Below are 16,062 nucleotides of genomic sequence, written 5' to 3'. Positions count from 1 at the left end.
CCTTCCCTCTGCTTACAGCTAAATTTAACTTTGATCTGCTGGGGTCAAACTGCAGCCAGGGATTGATTGCTTTTCACTCCACCAACTTTATACGATGAGCCAGGAGCATCTAGCTATTATAAACCAATGTAGATCCTGCTTCTTTTCCCCAGCAGCCTCTGAGCAGCTGTCAGGCGCCACTGATTCCAAGTCAATTTCTGGGCCTCAGATTTATTGGGTGAGTCATTGGCAACCTCTGAATGATTTCCAGTGAGCCAGTCACCTGGAACATGATTTTTGAATGAAAAGTTCATATATTGTTTGGAAAGAATATGGCAGTTATGGCTAAAGAGTCAGAGAGGAGGAAATGGTAGAGGTTGGCATGTGGGGTGGTGGCGCATGAAATGGAAATCTTTCCAGTTAAGTGGAAGAGCAAAACTCAGCACATAAATATTTCACTTAGATGGTCATCTAAGATCAAGCTACAACCCGGAGTTCTCTGATCCCTGGGATGAGCTAGCAGTTGGTGTACTTTCTAGTGTAGATACATTTGATTGAGAAGAAGGAAGATAGAAATGAGTCCAAACTGTCACCCTGAAGAGTTGTAGGCAGGTGGTCAGTTCTGAAACTTCCTAAAATCACCTTTGCAATGGACACGGTTGGCCTTCTTAGGGCTTGGAATGCAAGAATTTCACTTATTAGAGATTCATTTTTTTAAGCATTGCCCTCTCTTGTAAGCCTCAGCCAATGAAACAGAGGGTAAAGTTGTTATCAGGGCTTAGTACCTTAAAGTAAATTAACTTAGGAGATAACATTATTCCTTTGCAGGGTAGGGAGATGGTGGAAAGTGGAGGGAATGGAGGGAAATAAACATTTATTAAGGTCTTATGATGTACCGTGCACTATGCCAGGAACAGTACCCACATATTTCATTTAATCCTCACAACTGTGTGACAAATTTTTTTGGCCTCAGATTGTGAGGGTTGGTTGATTAGTGATACTTCATTGTTGATCAGTGCAATGTCCCTCTCTTGCTTCACTTATTTTTTTACCCTTTTAGCTTATTCTCCATGTCCATTCCCCAGTCTTACTAACAGCAACCGTTCTGATATGTTTGATGTATGTTCTTCTATTTGTGTTGTTTTATGTGTTTGTATTTTAAATTTACATGAATGGTATGGTAGCTTTCATCCTGTTTTCATTCTTTTTTCACTCACTACTGTTTAAAAAACTTTTTATCATGCAAAAATTTCAAACATTTTCAAAAATCAAATGGTATCTTAACTTTAATGTACTTATCACTCAAAGTCAAGTACAAACTTGTGGCCAATTATATTTTGTCTATACCCATTTTTTTCCTACTCACGCATTGCTCTGAAGTAAGTGGCAGAATCACTATTTCATCAGTAAGTATTTTGGTATGTACCTCTAAAATATAAGTACTTTAAAAATATGTAATCACTGTATCATATTATCATACATAAATATTAATATTAGCAATGATCATTTAATATCATCACCTATTCAGCTGATCAGCGTTTCCCAATTGTCTCATCATTATTTAGTTACTTGAATCAAGATTCAAATAAGATTTATACATTGTGTTTGTGATCTTTTTTTATCTTGCAATTTATTTGTTGAAGATCAGGTAATATATTCAGGGAGTTTTCTATAGTCTGAATTTTTCTGACTGTATCTCTGTGCTGCTGTTTAACATGTTTCTCTGTCCTCTCTATGTCCTGCAAATTGGTAATTATATAGATGCTTGGTCGGATGCAGGTCTAATTTTTGGGGGACAGGAAATACTTAGTATGTAAACTTTTAGACTTCCATTAAGAGGTGTCTAATATTGAGGTTTTTTTTTTCTTTTTTTTTTTGTTTGTTACGTCAGCAACGTTGATGGTCAGTGCCTAGATCCATGAGTTCCTTAGGGGTTACAAAATGTTGATAATCTAATTCTATCACTCCTTGTTTATTTATTAGCTGGCATATTCTATAAAGGGAAACTTTCCCTCACTAATTCTTCAGTAACACTGAGATGTAGTTTGTATAGAAAAGGCAAGATAAGTGCTTGATACTTTTATTTATCAATTTTCAAAATAATGAGTTCCTTCAAAGATATAGAAATAAGGCTTAAGATTAATATAAAACCCATGAATTCAAACACTTTTGATGATATTATTTGCAGTTATTATTCAATCAATGCTTAAATTGTCCTATCTTTGGCAGATGAGAGCCATTGCATGTTGTTTTTTCTAAAGTTGTTATTAACACCACCTTTTTAGTCTTTGACAGCTTTCTTACAGGCTGGTATAAGATGTTCCTGGCTCATCTTACACATTTCTTGCCTCAGACCTAGAGTCAGTCATTTCTCCAAGGAGGCCTGGTTTTTGATGAGTGGGAAGTTGTACTCCGAGGCCGCAGCCTGGGTGCTAGGAGAACTGTTTTTATACCTTATCCGTGTTGCCCTGTGTACATCCAATCTGCTTTTTTGAAGGCTACATCATATTCCATAGTGTGCATTCTCTACATGACTCAAGTCTGTTCCTCCAGTGCTCCACCTCCCTGCTAGCACAGACTACACTACCATGAGCGCGCATGTCCCCTTATGAACCTGTATGAGAATCCTTCTAGGATACATATTCCAGAGTCTATATGAGGCTTTTTTAAAGATCAATGTTACCATCCTTATTTTACAGGGGAGGCCACTAAGCAGCTGGGGGAAAGAAAGAGACTGTGGAAAGGGGACAGAGGGAGGGCTTGGAGAAGGGAAATGGGGCCAGAGGTAGAGTGGGAGAGCTTAAGTCTCCATTTCCCTTGTGTCTCTCTCGAGTGGAGGCCGTTTATTCTGTGGTGGTCCTGGTTTCATGGGTCCTGGAGGAAGGGCAGGCCAGGGCATGGATTAACATTCTCTTAGCTTTTCGTGGCTGCTTCCACATCGTTCTTCATGAGCCAAAAACTCCCAGTGTCTTAGGGCTCCTGCCATTGGAATATCTCACTCCTCTAAGGTTGTGTTTGTCATCTACACTTTGGGGTTTCTTCTGCACATCCACCAAAGTCTTTGTCAGATGACCGTGAGTCTTTTCCCCTGCGTGTCTACTTTTGTTTCTTTATTTATTTATTTTGAGACAGAGTCTCACTCTATCACCCAGACTGGAGTGCAGTGGTGTGATCTTGGCTCACTGCAACCTCTGCCTCCTGGGTTCAAGTGATTCTCCTGCCTCAGCCTCCCGAGTAGCCAGGATTACAGGCACGCGCCACCATGCCATGTTAATTTTTGTATTTTTACTAGAGATGGGGTTTCACCATGTTGGTCAGGCTGGTCTCGAACTCCTGGCCTCAAGTGATCTCCACTTTGGGAGGCCCACCTCAGCCTCCCAAAGCGCTGGGATTACAGCCGGGATCCTCTCCACTTCTTCCCAGCATCCTGGACCACCTCCTTATCCACATGGATGACCTTTCCTGCACCACAGCCTCTCAGCAACTGGGTCTTCTCTATACCAATGCTCTCCTCTCTGTTCTCTTCAGGGGACCTGTTCCCATTGCCACACCATGGACAGAGGTGGCAAGGGCAAAGGCTTGAAGGCTTGAAAGATGGCCATTACAGTTAGGGCAGAGTGTGGAGCCTGCAGGGCAAGATGAGGCTTCATAATCAGGCAGGGCCCATCACTCAGCGCTTTGTTGGTCGTATTAAAGATTTTGGCCTGTATTATAGGAGAAATGAGACGCTACAGAAAGTTTTTAAGTGAGGGCAGAGAGGGTGACATGTGTTGGTGATGGTGACCTGATCAATTCGTGTATTGAAAAGACCTCCAGGACTCCCATGCAGAGAAAAGACCAGAGCAAGAGTAGACCCAAGCTTGCTGGTGAGGAGGCCATTTCCATAAGCCAGTGAGAGATTAGGGTGGCTTGGAGCAGGACAAAGACAAGTGGACAGACTCGGGGGATCTTTAGGAATAAAAGTCACCTAGACCTGTAGGACATGGGAGGAGAGCGAGGGGAAGCAGTCAGGGACGATTCCCAGGTTTCAGCTTGCTCAACTGGACAGCAGATGGTGCCATTCCCTTGGTGGGGGAACAAGCGGACGGGGCCAGGCTTTTGAAGTCTGATGGAGTTGTTGTTTGTATGTTTACGGGCAGGGGGATCACAAACACTCTTGGATATATTGAGTGTGAGAAGCCTTGGAAACAAGGCCATGAAGACTTGAGTGGGTAAGGGAGGGATACCCAGGTCTGGAGTTCAGAGGAGAGGTGTGGCCTGGAGGGGAAGTTGGTATCATCAGCATGTAGGTGGAAATGAAGGTGGAGGTGCTGAGATGGTCTAAGAAGGGAAGCCGTGGGAGCAAAGAAGCCGGTCTTGGCGCTGAGGAGAATGAATATGCAAAGGAGATGGATGTGGGGGCAAAGAGCCAGGAAGAGAGGCAGAAGAGTGCAGTGTCATGGAGGCCACAAGAAGGGCGTATTTCAAGAAGGGGCTCTTGCTCTGCTGAGAAAGGGAGGTCAAGGAAGAGGAGGAACATGTCTGTGAAATTTAGCAATGTGGAATCATGACTAAGCTTAGAGCCATGTCAGTGGAGTGACAAGCCGGAAGCCATGTGGGAGTTTGGGGGAGAGAGAGGGAAGTGAGGTGATAGAGGGTCTTCTAGGAAGGCCCCTCAAGGGCTGGGCTGACTGAGTTGTGAAGCTCGCCCTTTTGTCCTACTTCCTGCCAGGAATTTGGACCTGACAGCTGGACAACAGTGTGGCCATTCTTGGGGCCATGAGGAAAAGGCCTGGAGTCTGTGATGTGAACTCCTGGAGCTGCTGAACCATCAGCAGCAGCTTGCACAATTCTGGAATTTTTTTTTACTTGAGAAAAATAAAACCTTATGTGTTTTTGCAGCTGACAATAATTTGTAACTGATAGAGTGTGCTGCCTGCGTTATCTGGTTTAATCCCTACAACTGCCTATTATTACTCCTATTTTACAGACAAGGAGACCCAAACACAGAGAGGTTAAGAAAGTAGAGTCACACAACTAAGGTGGCAGAACTGAGTTTAAAGACAGGGTTTCTCCTGGATGAGATTGGAGACTCTTACTTTAAGTGAAGTAACTCGGGAATGGAAAACCAAACATCGTATGTTCTCACTCATGAGTGGGAGCTAAGCTCTGAGGATGCAAAGGCATAAGAATGACACAATGGACTTTGGGGACTCAGGGAAAGAGTGCGAAGGGGGTGAGGGATAAAAGACTACAAATTGGGTTCAGTGTACACTGCTCAGGTGATGGGTGCACCAAAATCTCACAAATTACCACTAAAGAACTTGTTCATGTAACCAAACACCATCTGTTCCCCAATAACCTGTGGAAATAAAAATTTTAAAAAAAGACAGGGTTTATGACTCAAGACCAAGTCCTTAACCCCTGTAATATACTTTCTCAATAGCTATTATTGGGACTTTGGTGTTAATTGCCATTAGCCATCTCAAAAGACGACTGGGAAGATTACATGTCACAATGAGGCCAAATCTCCTTTCACTAAGGTAGGGATAGAGTAGGTGCTTAATGCATGCTTTGAAATACCTGACAATTCTTCCTGTACTTCATCTGTTACATATTTTGTGGAGATAGTGGTGGTGGTAGGGCATTGCTAGTAGACATTGAAAGTAATTTCTTTCCTTTTTTTTTTTTTTTTTTTTTTTTGAGACAGAGTCTTGCTCTGTCACCCAGGCTGGAGTGCAGTGGCACGATCTCGGCTTACTGCAACCTCCGCCTGCCGGGTTCAAACAATTCTCCTGCCTTAGCCTCCTAAGTAGCTGGGACTACAGGCGCGTGCCACCATGCCCGGCTAATTTTTTGTATTTTTAGTAGAGACGGGGTTTTACCATTCTGGCGGCCAGGCTGGTCTCAAACTCCTGACCTCATGATTCGCCCGCCTCGGCCTCCCAAAGTGCTGGGATTACAGGCTTGAGCCACCGTGCCCGGCTGAAAGTAATTTCTAAAACTATAATTCCACAATTCAACTTTACATGCACTCTAGTAGTTCATATTCAAAACTATCCTCCCGCTTATAATCACAGGGGAAAAAGTGCTGAAAGCAGAGAATCAAAGCTGCTGGTATAGGGAAATCAAGCTCCATTTCCACAGCTGTAACCATCTTTCAGCCACAGTGAGGAATGAGCACAGGGGGCTGGATCGCTTTCATTGCAGTTCTGTTAAGCATGATGTCACTAAGGGGGATTGTGAAATCACCCACTTCCAAGCAGAACAGAAAATCTGTCCAAGTTTTACAAATGTTATTTAAAATCTTAGCTGTCAGCCGTGAGAAAAATCCCTGCAGTCACATAAAAAAACCAGAATAGTTTTCAAAGATGGCTTTTATTACTAAGTTGTTACTATAAACATGCTTTCACCCAAACAGAGCAAAAATATGCAATTTCCTGAAAATGGGAGCTGTGAAATCACATCCCCAGAATATTTGTAATTACTGTTGATGATTCATTTATTAGCATTTCAGTACACATGTTGAGGGGGGAGGCGGGAAGACCAGCCTACCAGCATGTATCAACAATTAGTGGAGATACTATCTTTTCTTAATGAAATTTGATAAACAAAATTGCCTGATGGCTTGTATGTATTTTTTCAGAATTGAATAAAACTTAGAATTTATTAATGCACTTGCATTACTATAGTACTTTAAGCACTTGTCTAATATATACAGATTAAAACTTTACATGGTTTAAATAACAGGTTTTCCTCATCAAATATTTGGGTTAAATAAAAAAACCTGACATTTACATTCTTTTTTTTTCAATCATTGCCCAACAGTTTAGAACATAGAAAACTCAGTTTATCCCATATTCTCTATCACTACCATCTTGATCATGAAAGCTTATTTTAAAATGTGCCTATAATGAGTTTGTTGACACATACATTATAAAGTTAGAGTGAAAAGCTGAGGTGATCTATGTACCTGCTGCTGCTATTGATAATTTACTCTGCTTACCCTTGGCAAAAACGCTCAATGAACAATGTTTTAGAGTAGGGGGCTGAAATCCTTTCCGCTAGTCTTATAAATCATTCATTTTGGATTCAAATAATAATTACCATCCCTCCACTTTAGATATCCTACATATTTTAAATGGTGCAGCTCCCTATAACAATGGGAATGGGATATCGAGAAAATGGATGGCTGTTACATGTCAGTACTGGCAGCTTACTTTCCAGGTCTTATCCCTAAAGGTAAAGATTTGGTTATGTTTATACATAACATTGTATCGCTGTGTTCCATTCTGGGGATGGTACGGAGCCAGATAAGTGGGAAGTAAGTCTATGTCTGCATCCATAGGATGGGCTGGAGAACTGAAAATGTCTCTGGAAGAACATCTTTGTATACATAAGTATTTATATAGACATACTCATATAATCTTGTATGTGTGTGTTTATCTATAGACCTATGTATATCTATATCCAGATCTATCTATATTTCTATCTATATTCATACAGAATAAAGATATAGAAGGTAGAAGTATTGATAGATAGTGGTACTGATAGTAATACAAAAAGAAACTTCCGGGCCGGGCACGGTGGCTCACGCCTGTAATCCCAGCACTCTGGGAGGCCAAGGTGGGTGGATCACGAGGTCAGGAGATCAAGACCATAGTGGCTAACACGGTGAAGCCCCATCGCTACTAAAAATACAAAAAATTAGCCGGGCGTGGTGGTGGGCGCCTGTAGTCCCAGCTACTCAGGAGACTGAGACAGGAGAATGGCGTGAACCCGGGAGGCAGAGGTTGCAGTGAGCCGAGATCAAGCCACTGCACTCTAGCCTGGGTGACAGAGCAAGACTCCGTCTCAACAACAACAACAACAAAAAACAAAAAAACAAAAAGAAGCTTCCATAATGTAAAATCTTATTTGTCCTCTAAACGATATCCACAGTAGTACACAAATAAAGGTATGCTCTGACATACATCTTGCTGCATTTAATGTATACAAAGGAAGGAAGGAAGCATTGGTCCTTGTTGCTCACTTCTGTGAGGAGAAGAAAAGGCACTAACGCCATGGGAGTCATTCATTGCAGGTCAAGGTTGACCCTTCCCCTTCTGGTGAATAAGGGACCAGAGATGAACTAGCTTCAGCTTAAAGGCCCTCACTCAAATTTGAAAATGCTGAATACTTCTCATGAAAGCTTCCATCAATTCAGGAGATCTTCTTTTTTCTTTTGTTTTGAATGGGTGATGTAGAAGTGCCCTCTTGTCTTTCTGTATTGGTGGCTGGGGAAGTGATTCCTTGGGTAGGGGAAGAAAGGTCTGTGACTTGAATGAAGATAGACCGTGATACTGAAAGCAAATATCAGTTTTCTTTAGAGTCTTTTTTCTGTAGATTTAAATACAGATATATGTCAATAGATACAAAAACACACAGGGTTATAGGAATATGTCTATGTAATGTCCATTTGTGAATATGTCTTGTAAAAATTCCCCAAAAGAAAAGTAGATCAGAGGTCATTTCCCTACCCAGCCTCTCCAGCCCAGGTGCTTCCAATCAGCCAATTAGTTGAGCCCAGGTGATTTTAATCAGCCAATTAGCTAAATTCGGACTGCTGAAGAATCAAGGCAGGCCCCAAAGGGTGCATGTGAATAGGCATACGGTGAGAAGGAAAGCTGGGTCCTGAAATGCTAACCTAGACATAAAGCATTACATGGCTGTACTGCCAGCTTACTTCCCAGACCTTGCCCCTAAAGGTGAAGCTTTGTTTATACAAACAATACTGTAGGGCTGTTTTCCAATCTGGGATGTTATTGAGCCATGTGGAAGGGAAGTAAGTCTATGTCTGCATGCTTAGAATATGCTGGGGTATTGAAAATGTCTTTTGGGGAACATCCTTTGTATACATGAATATTTATTTAGACATACTCATATAATCCTGTATATGTGTGTTTATCTACCTATTTATGTTTATTTCTAAATGTATCTTTGTATATATATTCATACAGAATAAAGACATAGAAGGTGGAAGTAATTTTTAAAAAAGAAAATGGATAGCTTTATCTTTATTATGGGAATTAGTGAAACCACACTCTATGCTTTGAGCCCCTACAGTGTGCCGGGAACTTTGGGGTTATTATCACGATCATTACAACAACCTTGCAAGGAAGGCGTATCAGTTGGAGAAATGGAGATTCAGGATGGTGAAGAAACTCAACCAAGTTTTCACTGCTAAGAGCGAACAGAAATGTTACTTTAAGATATTCCTATTGCTGTGGTTTGAGTATTTGTTCCCTCCAGAACTCACATTGAAATTTAATTCCTAATGTGCAATTATTGAGAGGTGGGGCCTTTAAGAAGTGATTGGGTCATGAATAGATTAATCCATTCATAGCTTAATGGGTAAATGGATTAATGGATCATCACGGGAGAGGAACTGGTGGCTTTATAAGAGGAAAACAGACCTAAGCTTAGCATGCTCAGCCGACTTGTCATGTGATGCCCTGTGCTGCCTGATGACTCTGCAGAGTCTCTATGTAAAAAGATCAGCAAGATGGTCCGCACCAGATGTGGCTCCTTGACCTTGGACTTCTTAGTTCCCATGATGGTAAGAAATAAGTTCCTTTTCTTTATAAACTTCTCAGTTTCAGGGATTGTTATAAGCAACAGAAAATGGACTAAGACACCTATGCAGCTACTGTTTAACGCAGCATGGAGATTCTGGCCAGTGGGATAAAGAAATAAGAGGAGAAAGGATTGAAAGGAAGAAATAAAACTGTTTATACATGATATAAATATCTATGTTGATAGTCTAACAAGATCAATGATTAGAACTAATAAATGGACTTGGAAGATTTTGCTGGGTATAACATTATCCAGAAATAAAATAAATAGTATTTCTTCACACCAGTCATATCCAATTAGAAATTTTGACAGTAATAAGATACTATTCACAATATCGATAAGTATTTAGGTGTTAACATATATAAAAATACACAAGATTTTTATGAAAATAAATTTAAACTCAGAATGACATAGAGGATCATCTATGGAAACATAGTCCATGCTTTTGATGGGATAATTTAATATTACAGAGATGTTAAATTTCTCCTAATCTCTAAACTCAATGCAATCCCAATAAAAATCTCAGTTGAATTTTTTTGTGAACTCAATAATAATTTTAGACTAACATAAATTATAAAATATAAGGAAGAATAAAAGGCCACAAATAACTAAGCAAACTCTAAAAAAAGAGCAAAGAATGGAAGGTGAGGGGGGGACATTCACTCCCCATATTAGAACAATTTCAAAGCCATAGTAGTAAAGACAATATAGAATGGACTTGGGAAGATGGATAGACCAAGAGAACAGAGAGGAGAGCTCTTAGACAGAGTCGGGTACATGTGGGAACTTAATCCACAAAATCAATGGGGGAAAGAATGGTTGTTTAATAGAAGGTATTGAGAAAGCTGCCTCATTACATATTTCTTTTTTTTTTTTTACCCCCAAATTCCTTCATACTGTGCCTCACTACATAAAGGAAATTAAAACTGGATATGAACATAACACCACATGTAAAGGCAGATTCCAGATGGATTCAATAATTAAAAATTAAAGAAAATACAAGCTGAAAATGGAAAATATCTTTGTGATTTAGAGATAGGGAAGAGCCTTCTAAACAAAACCTTTCAGCAGAAGACATACTTGATCCTATCAAAATACAGGACATCATTATAAAGTTAATAGATAACAGAATGGCAGCTAATAGATAATAGCATAGTTGGCAATGCTTAAAACAGTGAAGTTGCAATGCTTGAACAGTAAAGCATAGAATGTGGTTTTACTAATTCCCATAATAAAGAAATAGTGATCCATTTTCTTGGTATCTCATTTTATTGCTACAGGGAGCTGTACCATTTAAAATATGCAGGATATCTAAGCAGTGACTATTACAGATATGAAGGGGGAGGGTGGGAGAGAGAGAGGGAGAGAGACCGAGATTTACGAGGGATTAACATTGTCTTAGTTAGGGCTTCTATAACAAAATACTGTAGATTGGGTGGCTTAAACCACAAAATTTATTTCTCACAGTTTCAGAGGCTGGGAAGTCCAATATCAGGGTGCTGGTTGAGGATTCTCTTCCAGGCTTGCAGATGGCTACCTTCTTTCATGGAAAAGAGAGAGCATCTTTTCTTACAAGGGCACTAATACCATCATGAGGGCTCCACCCTCATGATCTCATTGCCTCCCCCAAACCGCATCTTCAAATACCATAACATTGTGGGTTAGGAGGTCAGCATATGAGTTTTGGGGGCTTGCAATTCGGTCCATGGCAGATACCTAAGCTATTCAAGAAACTCTACCAAAGAATAAAACAATACAGAAATGTCCTCAGAAACATGGAAAGGGATTCAAAGAAGCAACTTATGAAAGTAGAAACTGTAGGAAATCGAAATATTCCAGCCCCAAACTTGCCACTCTGGCATATCGGTTATTTTTATTTATTTAATTTATTTTTTGAGACGGAGTCTCACTCTGTTGCCCAGGCTGGAGTGCAGTGGCGCAATCTTGGCTCACTGCAACCTCCGCCCTCTGAGTTCAAGTGATTCTCCTGCTTTGGCCTCCCAAGTAGCTGGGATTACAGGCGCCTGCCACTGCACCCGGCTAATTTTTGAATTTTTAGTAGAGACGGGGTTTCACCATCTTGGCCAGGCTGGTCTTGAACTCTTGACCTCGTGATCCACCCGCCTCAGCCTCCCAAAGTGCTGGGATTACAGGCGTGAGCCACTGCACCCAGCCTGGTTATTTTGAATTAAAGGCACTTTGAAAAACAGCACAAGCAAGAATGACACTCTGATCCTTCTTTTTCTCCCCGAAAGTGGGAGCCAAAACTGCTTAGTGAAAGGGGCCCCCTCTGTACCAGGAGGAAGAAAGACCTTCTTAAAACCAGAGATGAGGAGTTGAGGCCAAGAGAAATCTGCACAACCCAACCTTGTTAAACTGGCGTTTATCTTCCCAGTGACAGCTCCACCACTAACTGCCCTGGCCCAGGCTCCTTTGTCTTGTCATGTTCTCACAATATACTGCTCTTTGTCCAGCCTAGTATGTAAGTGTTAGCCTCTAACTGCTTCTTTGGGTCTTCATTTTGCTTGTGGGGACTCTCATACACATGTAAAAATTACTAAATAAAATTTGTGGCCGGGTGCAGTGGCTCACACCTGTAATCCCAGCACTCTGGGAGGGTGGGGCGGGCAGATCACCTGAGGCTGGGAGTTCGAGACCAGCCTAACCAACAAGGAGAAACCCCATCTCTACTAAAAATACAAAATTAGCTGGGCATGGTGGTGCATGACTGTAATCCCAGCTACTCAGGAGGCTGAGGCAGGAGAATCGCTTGAACCTGGGAGGCGGAGGTTGCGGTGAGCCGAGATCGCACCATTGCACTCCAGCCTGGGCAACAAAAGCGAAACTCTGTCTCAAAGAAAATAAATAAATAAATAAATAAAATTTGTATTTTTCTCCTGTTAATCTGTCTTATGACAATTTAATTCTTGGGCCCAGCCAGAAACACTAAGAAGGTAGAGAAGAAATTTTATCTCCATGACAAAACCAAAAAGGCTACCATGAGCACATGCTCCAAATCGTTAGTAATACTGTTCAAGAACGGCAAGTTAAACAAGAAAGAGCTGACACTTAGACCTGTTAGAATGCCAAAATTAGACAGTTGGATTATGCCACCTGTTATTGGGAGTGTGTAGGGACATAAGGAATCATGTGCTGCTGGTGGGAAGGTTGACCTGTGCAGCGGCTTTGGAGGCCAACCTGGTGGTCTTAACCAAATTAAGGTCATATCCTATGACCTGCTGATGTTGGTCATATACGTTGGTCTCTTTGACTGCCAATATGTATGAAATTGGCTCTATTTCTCTGGAGAAACTTGACTAATATCGATATGAAGGGGCAGGGTGGGAGAGGGATAGGAAGAGAGACTGAGGTTCGTTTTAAGGAACTGGCTCACGTGATTGTTGGGGCTGACAGACTGAAATCTGTGGGGTGGGCAGACGGGCTGGAAATTTGGGCAAGAGTTGATGTTATAGTCTTTGGTTTGAGGTTGGAAACTCAGGTATAATTCCTATGTTGCAATCTGGAGGCAGAATTGCTCTTTGAGGGGCCTCTGTCTTTGTTCTTAAGGCATTCAACTGATTGGGTGAGGCCCACCCACATCATAAAGAGTAATCTGCTTTATTCAGAGTCTCCTGATTGTGGCTGGGCGCGGTGGCTTACACATGTAATCCCAGCACTTTGGGAGGCTGAGGTGGGCTGATCACCTGAGGTCAGGAGTTTGAGACCAGCCTGGCCGACATGATGAAACCCTGTCTCTACTACAAATACAAAAAAATTAGCTGGGCATGGTGGCTCATGCCTGTGGTCCCAACTACTTGGGAGGCTGAGGCAGGAGAATTGCTTGAACCCCAGAGGCAGAGGTTGCAGTGAGCCAAGATTGCACCACTGCACTCCAGCCTGGGCGAAAGAGTGAGACTCTGTCTCAAAAAAAAAAAAAAAAAAAAAAAAAAAGTCTACTGATTGTAAATGTTATTTGTATCTAAAAAATAACTTCACAGCAATATCTAAACTGCAGTTTGATCAAACAACTAGGTATTACAGACTAGCCAAGTTGACACATAAGATTAACCCATTATAGTATCTGCTAGAGGCTGAATTGTATCTATTCAAAATTCATATGTTGAAGTCCTAACTCCCAGTACTTCAGAATGTAGCCATATATGGAGATAATGTGTTTAAAGAGGTAATTAAGTGAAAATGAGGACATTAGGGTGGGCCCTAACCCAATATGAGTGACGTTCTCATAAGAAAAGGTGATCAGCACACAGACACACACAGAGGGAAGACCACAGGAAGCCACTGGAGAAGGCAGCCATCTGCAAACCAAGGAGCGAGGCCTCCAAAGGAACCAACCCTATAAAACCTTGATCTCAGACTTTTAGCTTCCAGAACTGAGGGAATAAGTTTCTGTAGTTAAAGCCACCCAGTCGGTAGCACATTGTTATGGTAGCCCCAGAAAATGAACACAATATCCTACACAACTGATGTTTTATGTAGCACAGCTGGGAGGAGGTGAGGACGATGAAACCCAGTGTCTCAGAACCCTTGGGTTCCCTGTGCCCTCAGGGGTCCAGGCAGCGGTAACTCTACCTCTGCCAGGGAGGAGGGCTCACAGTGTGGGGTTCTGTGAATCTTGGCTGAATGGAAAGCTTCCTCCTACCTACCCACCAGGTGTTGGGAACCTGGGCTCAGAGAGTTCTGGGGGTCCTAGGCTTAGGGCTGCGGGAGCCTCCCTGTCTCTCTGCAGTGTGAGAAGCCTCTCTTCATTGAGAAAGTTGGAGCTAAGAGCTTTTCCCGAACTCCAAAGCTGACCTTAGGTGGGGGTGGGGGCAAGCGAACCCTGCCCTCCTCACCCATGTTTCCAGCATCAGCCCTGAAGTCCTCTGATTAATTTCATGTGGGTAAACAGGCATGGCAGATGTGTGTGTTTGAAGCCATCAGTCATTCTCTCTTTGTTAAAATCAAATATAAAATGAGCTTGCTTCATTACAGCTAGCTGAAAAGTGCACAGGAAACACATGCCTCCTTTTCACTTGTCCTGGAATGGAGCGAGTATGATTCTTTCTCCTCTGGTCCCTGAAAGGGGCTTGTCTCAGGGCAGTCCTTGGGACCCATCACCCCCTGGCTTCAGCCTAGGCCCCTCAGGGAGCTTCTCCCATCTCCTTGGTGCATCCTGAAGCTAAACATTCAGAAATCTAGAGAAGTTTCAGGAAGACCTTGTTTGGTTGAAAGGAGGTTATGGGCTGAGCTTTAAAAACAACAAAAACAAATTCTTCTTTTCAGTTAGGCCCAGGAACCCCTCCTGAAGACAAACAGGAACTTTAAAGGCAGTATCGAACATGCACTGAATGCCCAGTCGGGCAGGGAGCAGTGGCTGTGCCTACCAGACATTTCTGATCTCGTTTAATCTGTGCAGCATCTAGTGGCGACAGCGTTATCCTCTCCATTTTACAGCAAGGAGCCCAAGGCTCATCAAGTTTAAATGTCCCAGGTGGGGCAGTGCCTGGGTCAGAATTCTCAGCCAGGTCTGACCCCAAGCCCTGCGGGTGCTTTATCCTCTACCTTCAGCTGATAACGCACTGAAGGCAAGAATCACAGAACCACTGAAAATTAGGGACAGATAGGACTACAGACCTCAGGGAATCGAGGAAACTGAGGCCCAGGGGAGGTGGAAGTGGGAGCGGGAGGGGAGGGCAGATGGTGAAATGACAGGACCAAGAACCCATGTCCATAAATCACCAAATAGCCTCTGCCCTTAGTGACAAAGCAGATCCGGAGCCCGGGGAAGTGTCCTGTCCTCTAGCCCCGAGTCTCCAACCTCTGGCAGCCTGTGTGTCTGACAATCTCTGTCTGATTCTGATCTGTAGCCAGCACGAGTGTTCCAGACCACCAGGGAAAAGATCATTGAGGATTGACAGCTACAATAGAGTTATTTTTTACCATCTCTTAATTAGGTGTAAAATAAAACTAGGCATAAACTGTTTATGCTTCAAGCTCTTATGCACCTATAAAACCAAAAACAAATTTACAAATTGAAAGCAGAAGAGAGTACATAGGCACATCTAAACGACATTATTTTGATGGGACTTATGATGAGCTGTACTAAAAATAAATGCCTATTGTTGGCTTAATAATGAAAAGATGCAGCCTTGGGTCTAGTTTTATATCTATTGCTGTATTTTGACTTTAATAATATCCATGCAAAGACTGTCTCTTATTAGAATGAGGCACACATGGTATTTAACGTCAAGGCTGTATTTGCTACTGCTGGACAATCAGGCACTATATGGCCCTTGATAAATGTGTACATGGCTCACATTCACTTAAGGATATAATTAGCATTATAGCTTTATTAAAATCTACCTCAACTGGGGTTTCTCTTCCCATTTTTTTTGGAATGGGAGAAGAAAATATCTTAGTAAATGTATATTTACTACTCACTGCTAATGAACTGCTGCAAACACTTACGTTTTGACAGGATGCACAAAC

At 42.1% G+C, this 16,062-nt stretch overlaps 2 annotated features.

Moving 5' to 3' along the window:
• Window positions 1,480-1,649: an enhancer, noted in NCBI's record as "experimental_42675 CRE fragment used in MPRA reporter constructs". NCBI's record gives its function as "activates a minimal promoter by MPRAs in K562 erythroleukemia cells, with activity observed for both the introgressed and non-introgressed 15:93229352 variant alleles {active_cell/tissue: K562}" and the evidence as "EXISTENCE:reporter gene assay evidence [ECO:0000049][PMID:34662402]".
• Window positions 3,953-4,247: a silencer, noted in NCBI's record as "tiled region #7580; HepG2 Repressive non-DNase unmatched - State 13:Ctcf". NCBI's record gives its function as "represses a minimal TATA promoter and a strong SV40 promoter by Sharpr-MPRA in HepG2 cells {active_cell/tissue: HepG2}" and the evidence as "EXISTENCE:reporter gene assay evidence [ECO:0000049][PMID:27701403]".

The sequence above is a fragment of the Homo sapiens genome, chromosome 15 (genome assembly GCF_000001405.40).
Source record: "Homo sapiens chromosome 15, GRCh38.p14 Primary Assembly".
Taxonomy (NCBI): domain Eukaryota; kingdom Metazoa; phylum Chordata; class Mammalia; order Primates; family Hominidae; genus Homo; species Homo sapiens.
The sequence above is the reverse complement of the archived record's forward strand: the minus strand, read 5'-3'. Positions and strand labels throughout refer to the sequence as shown.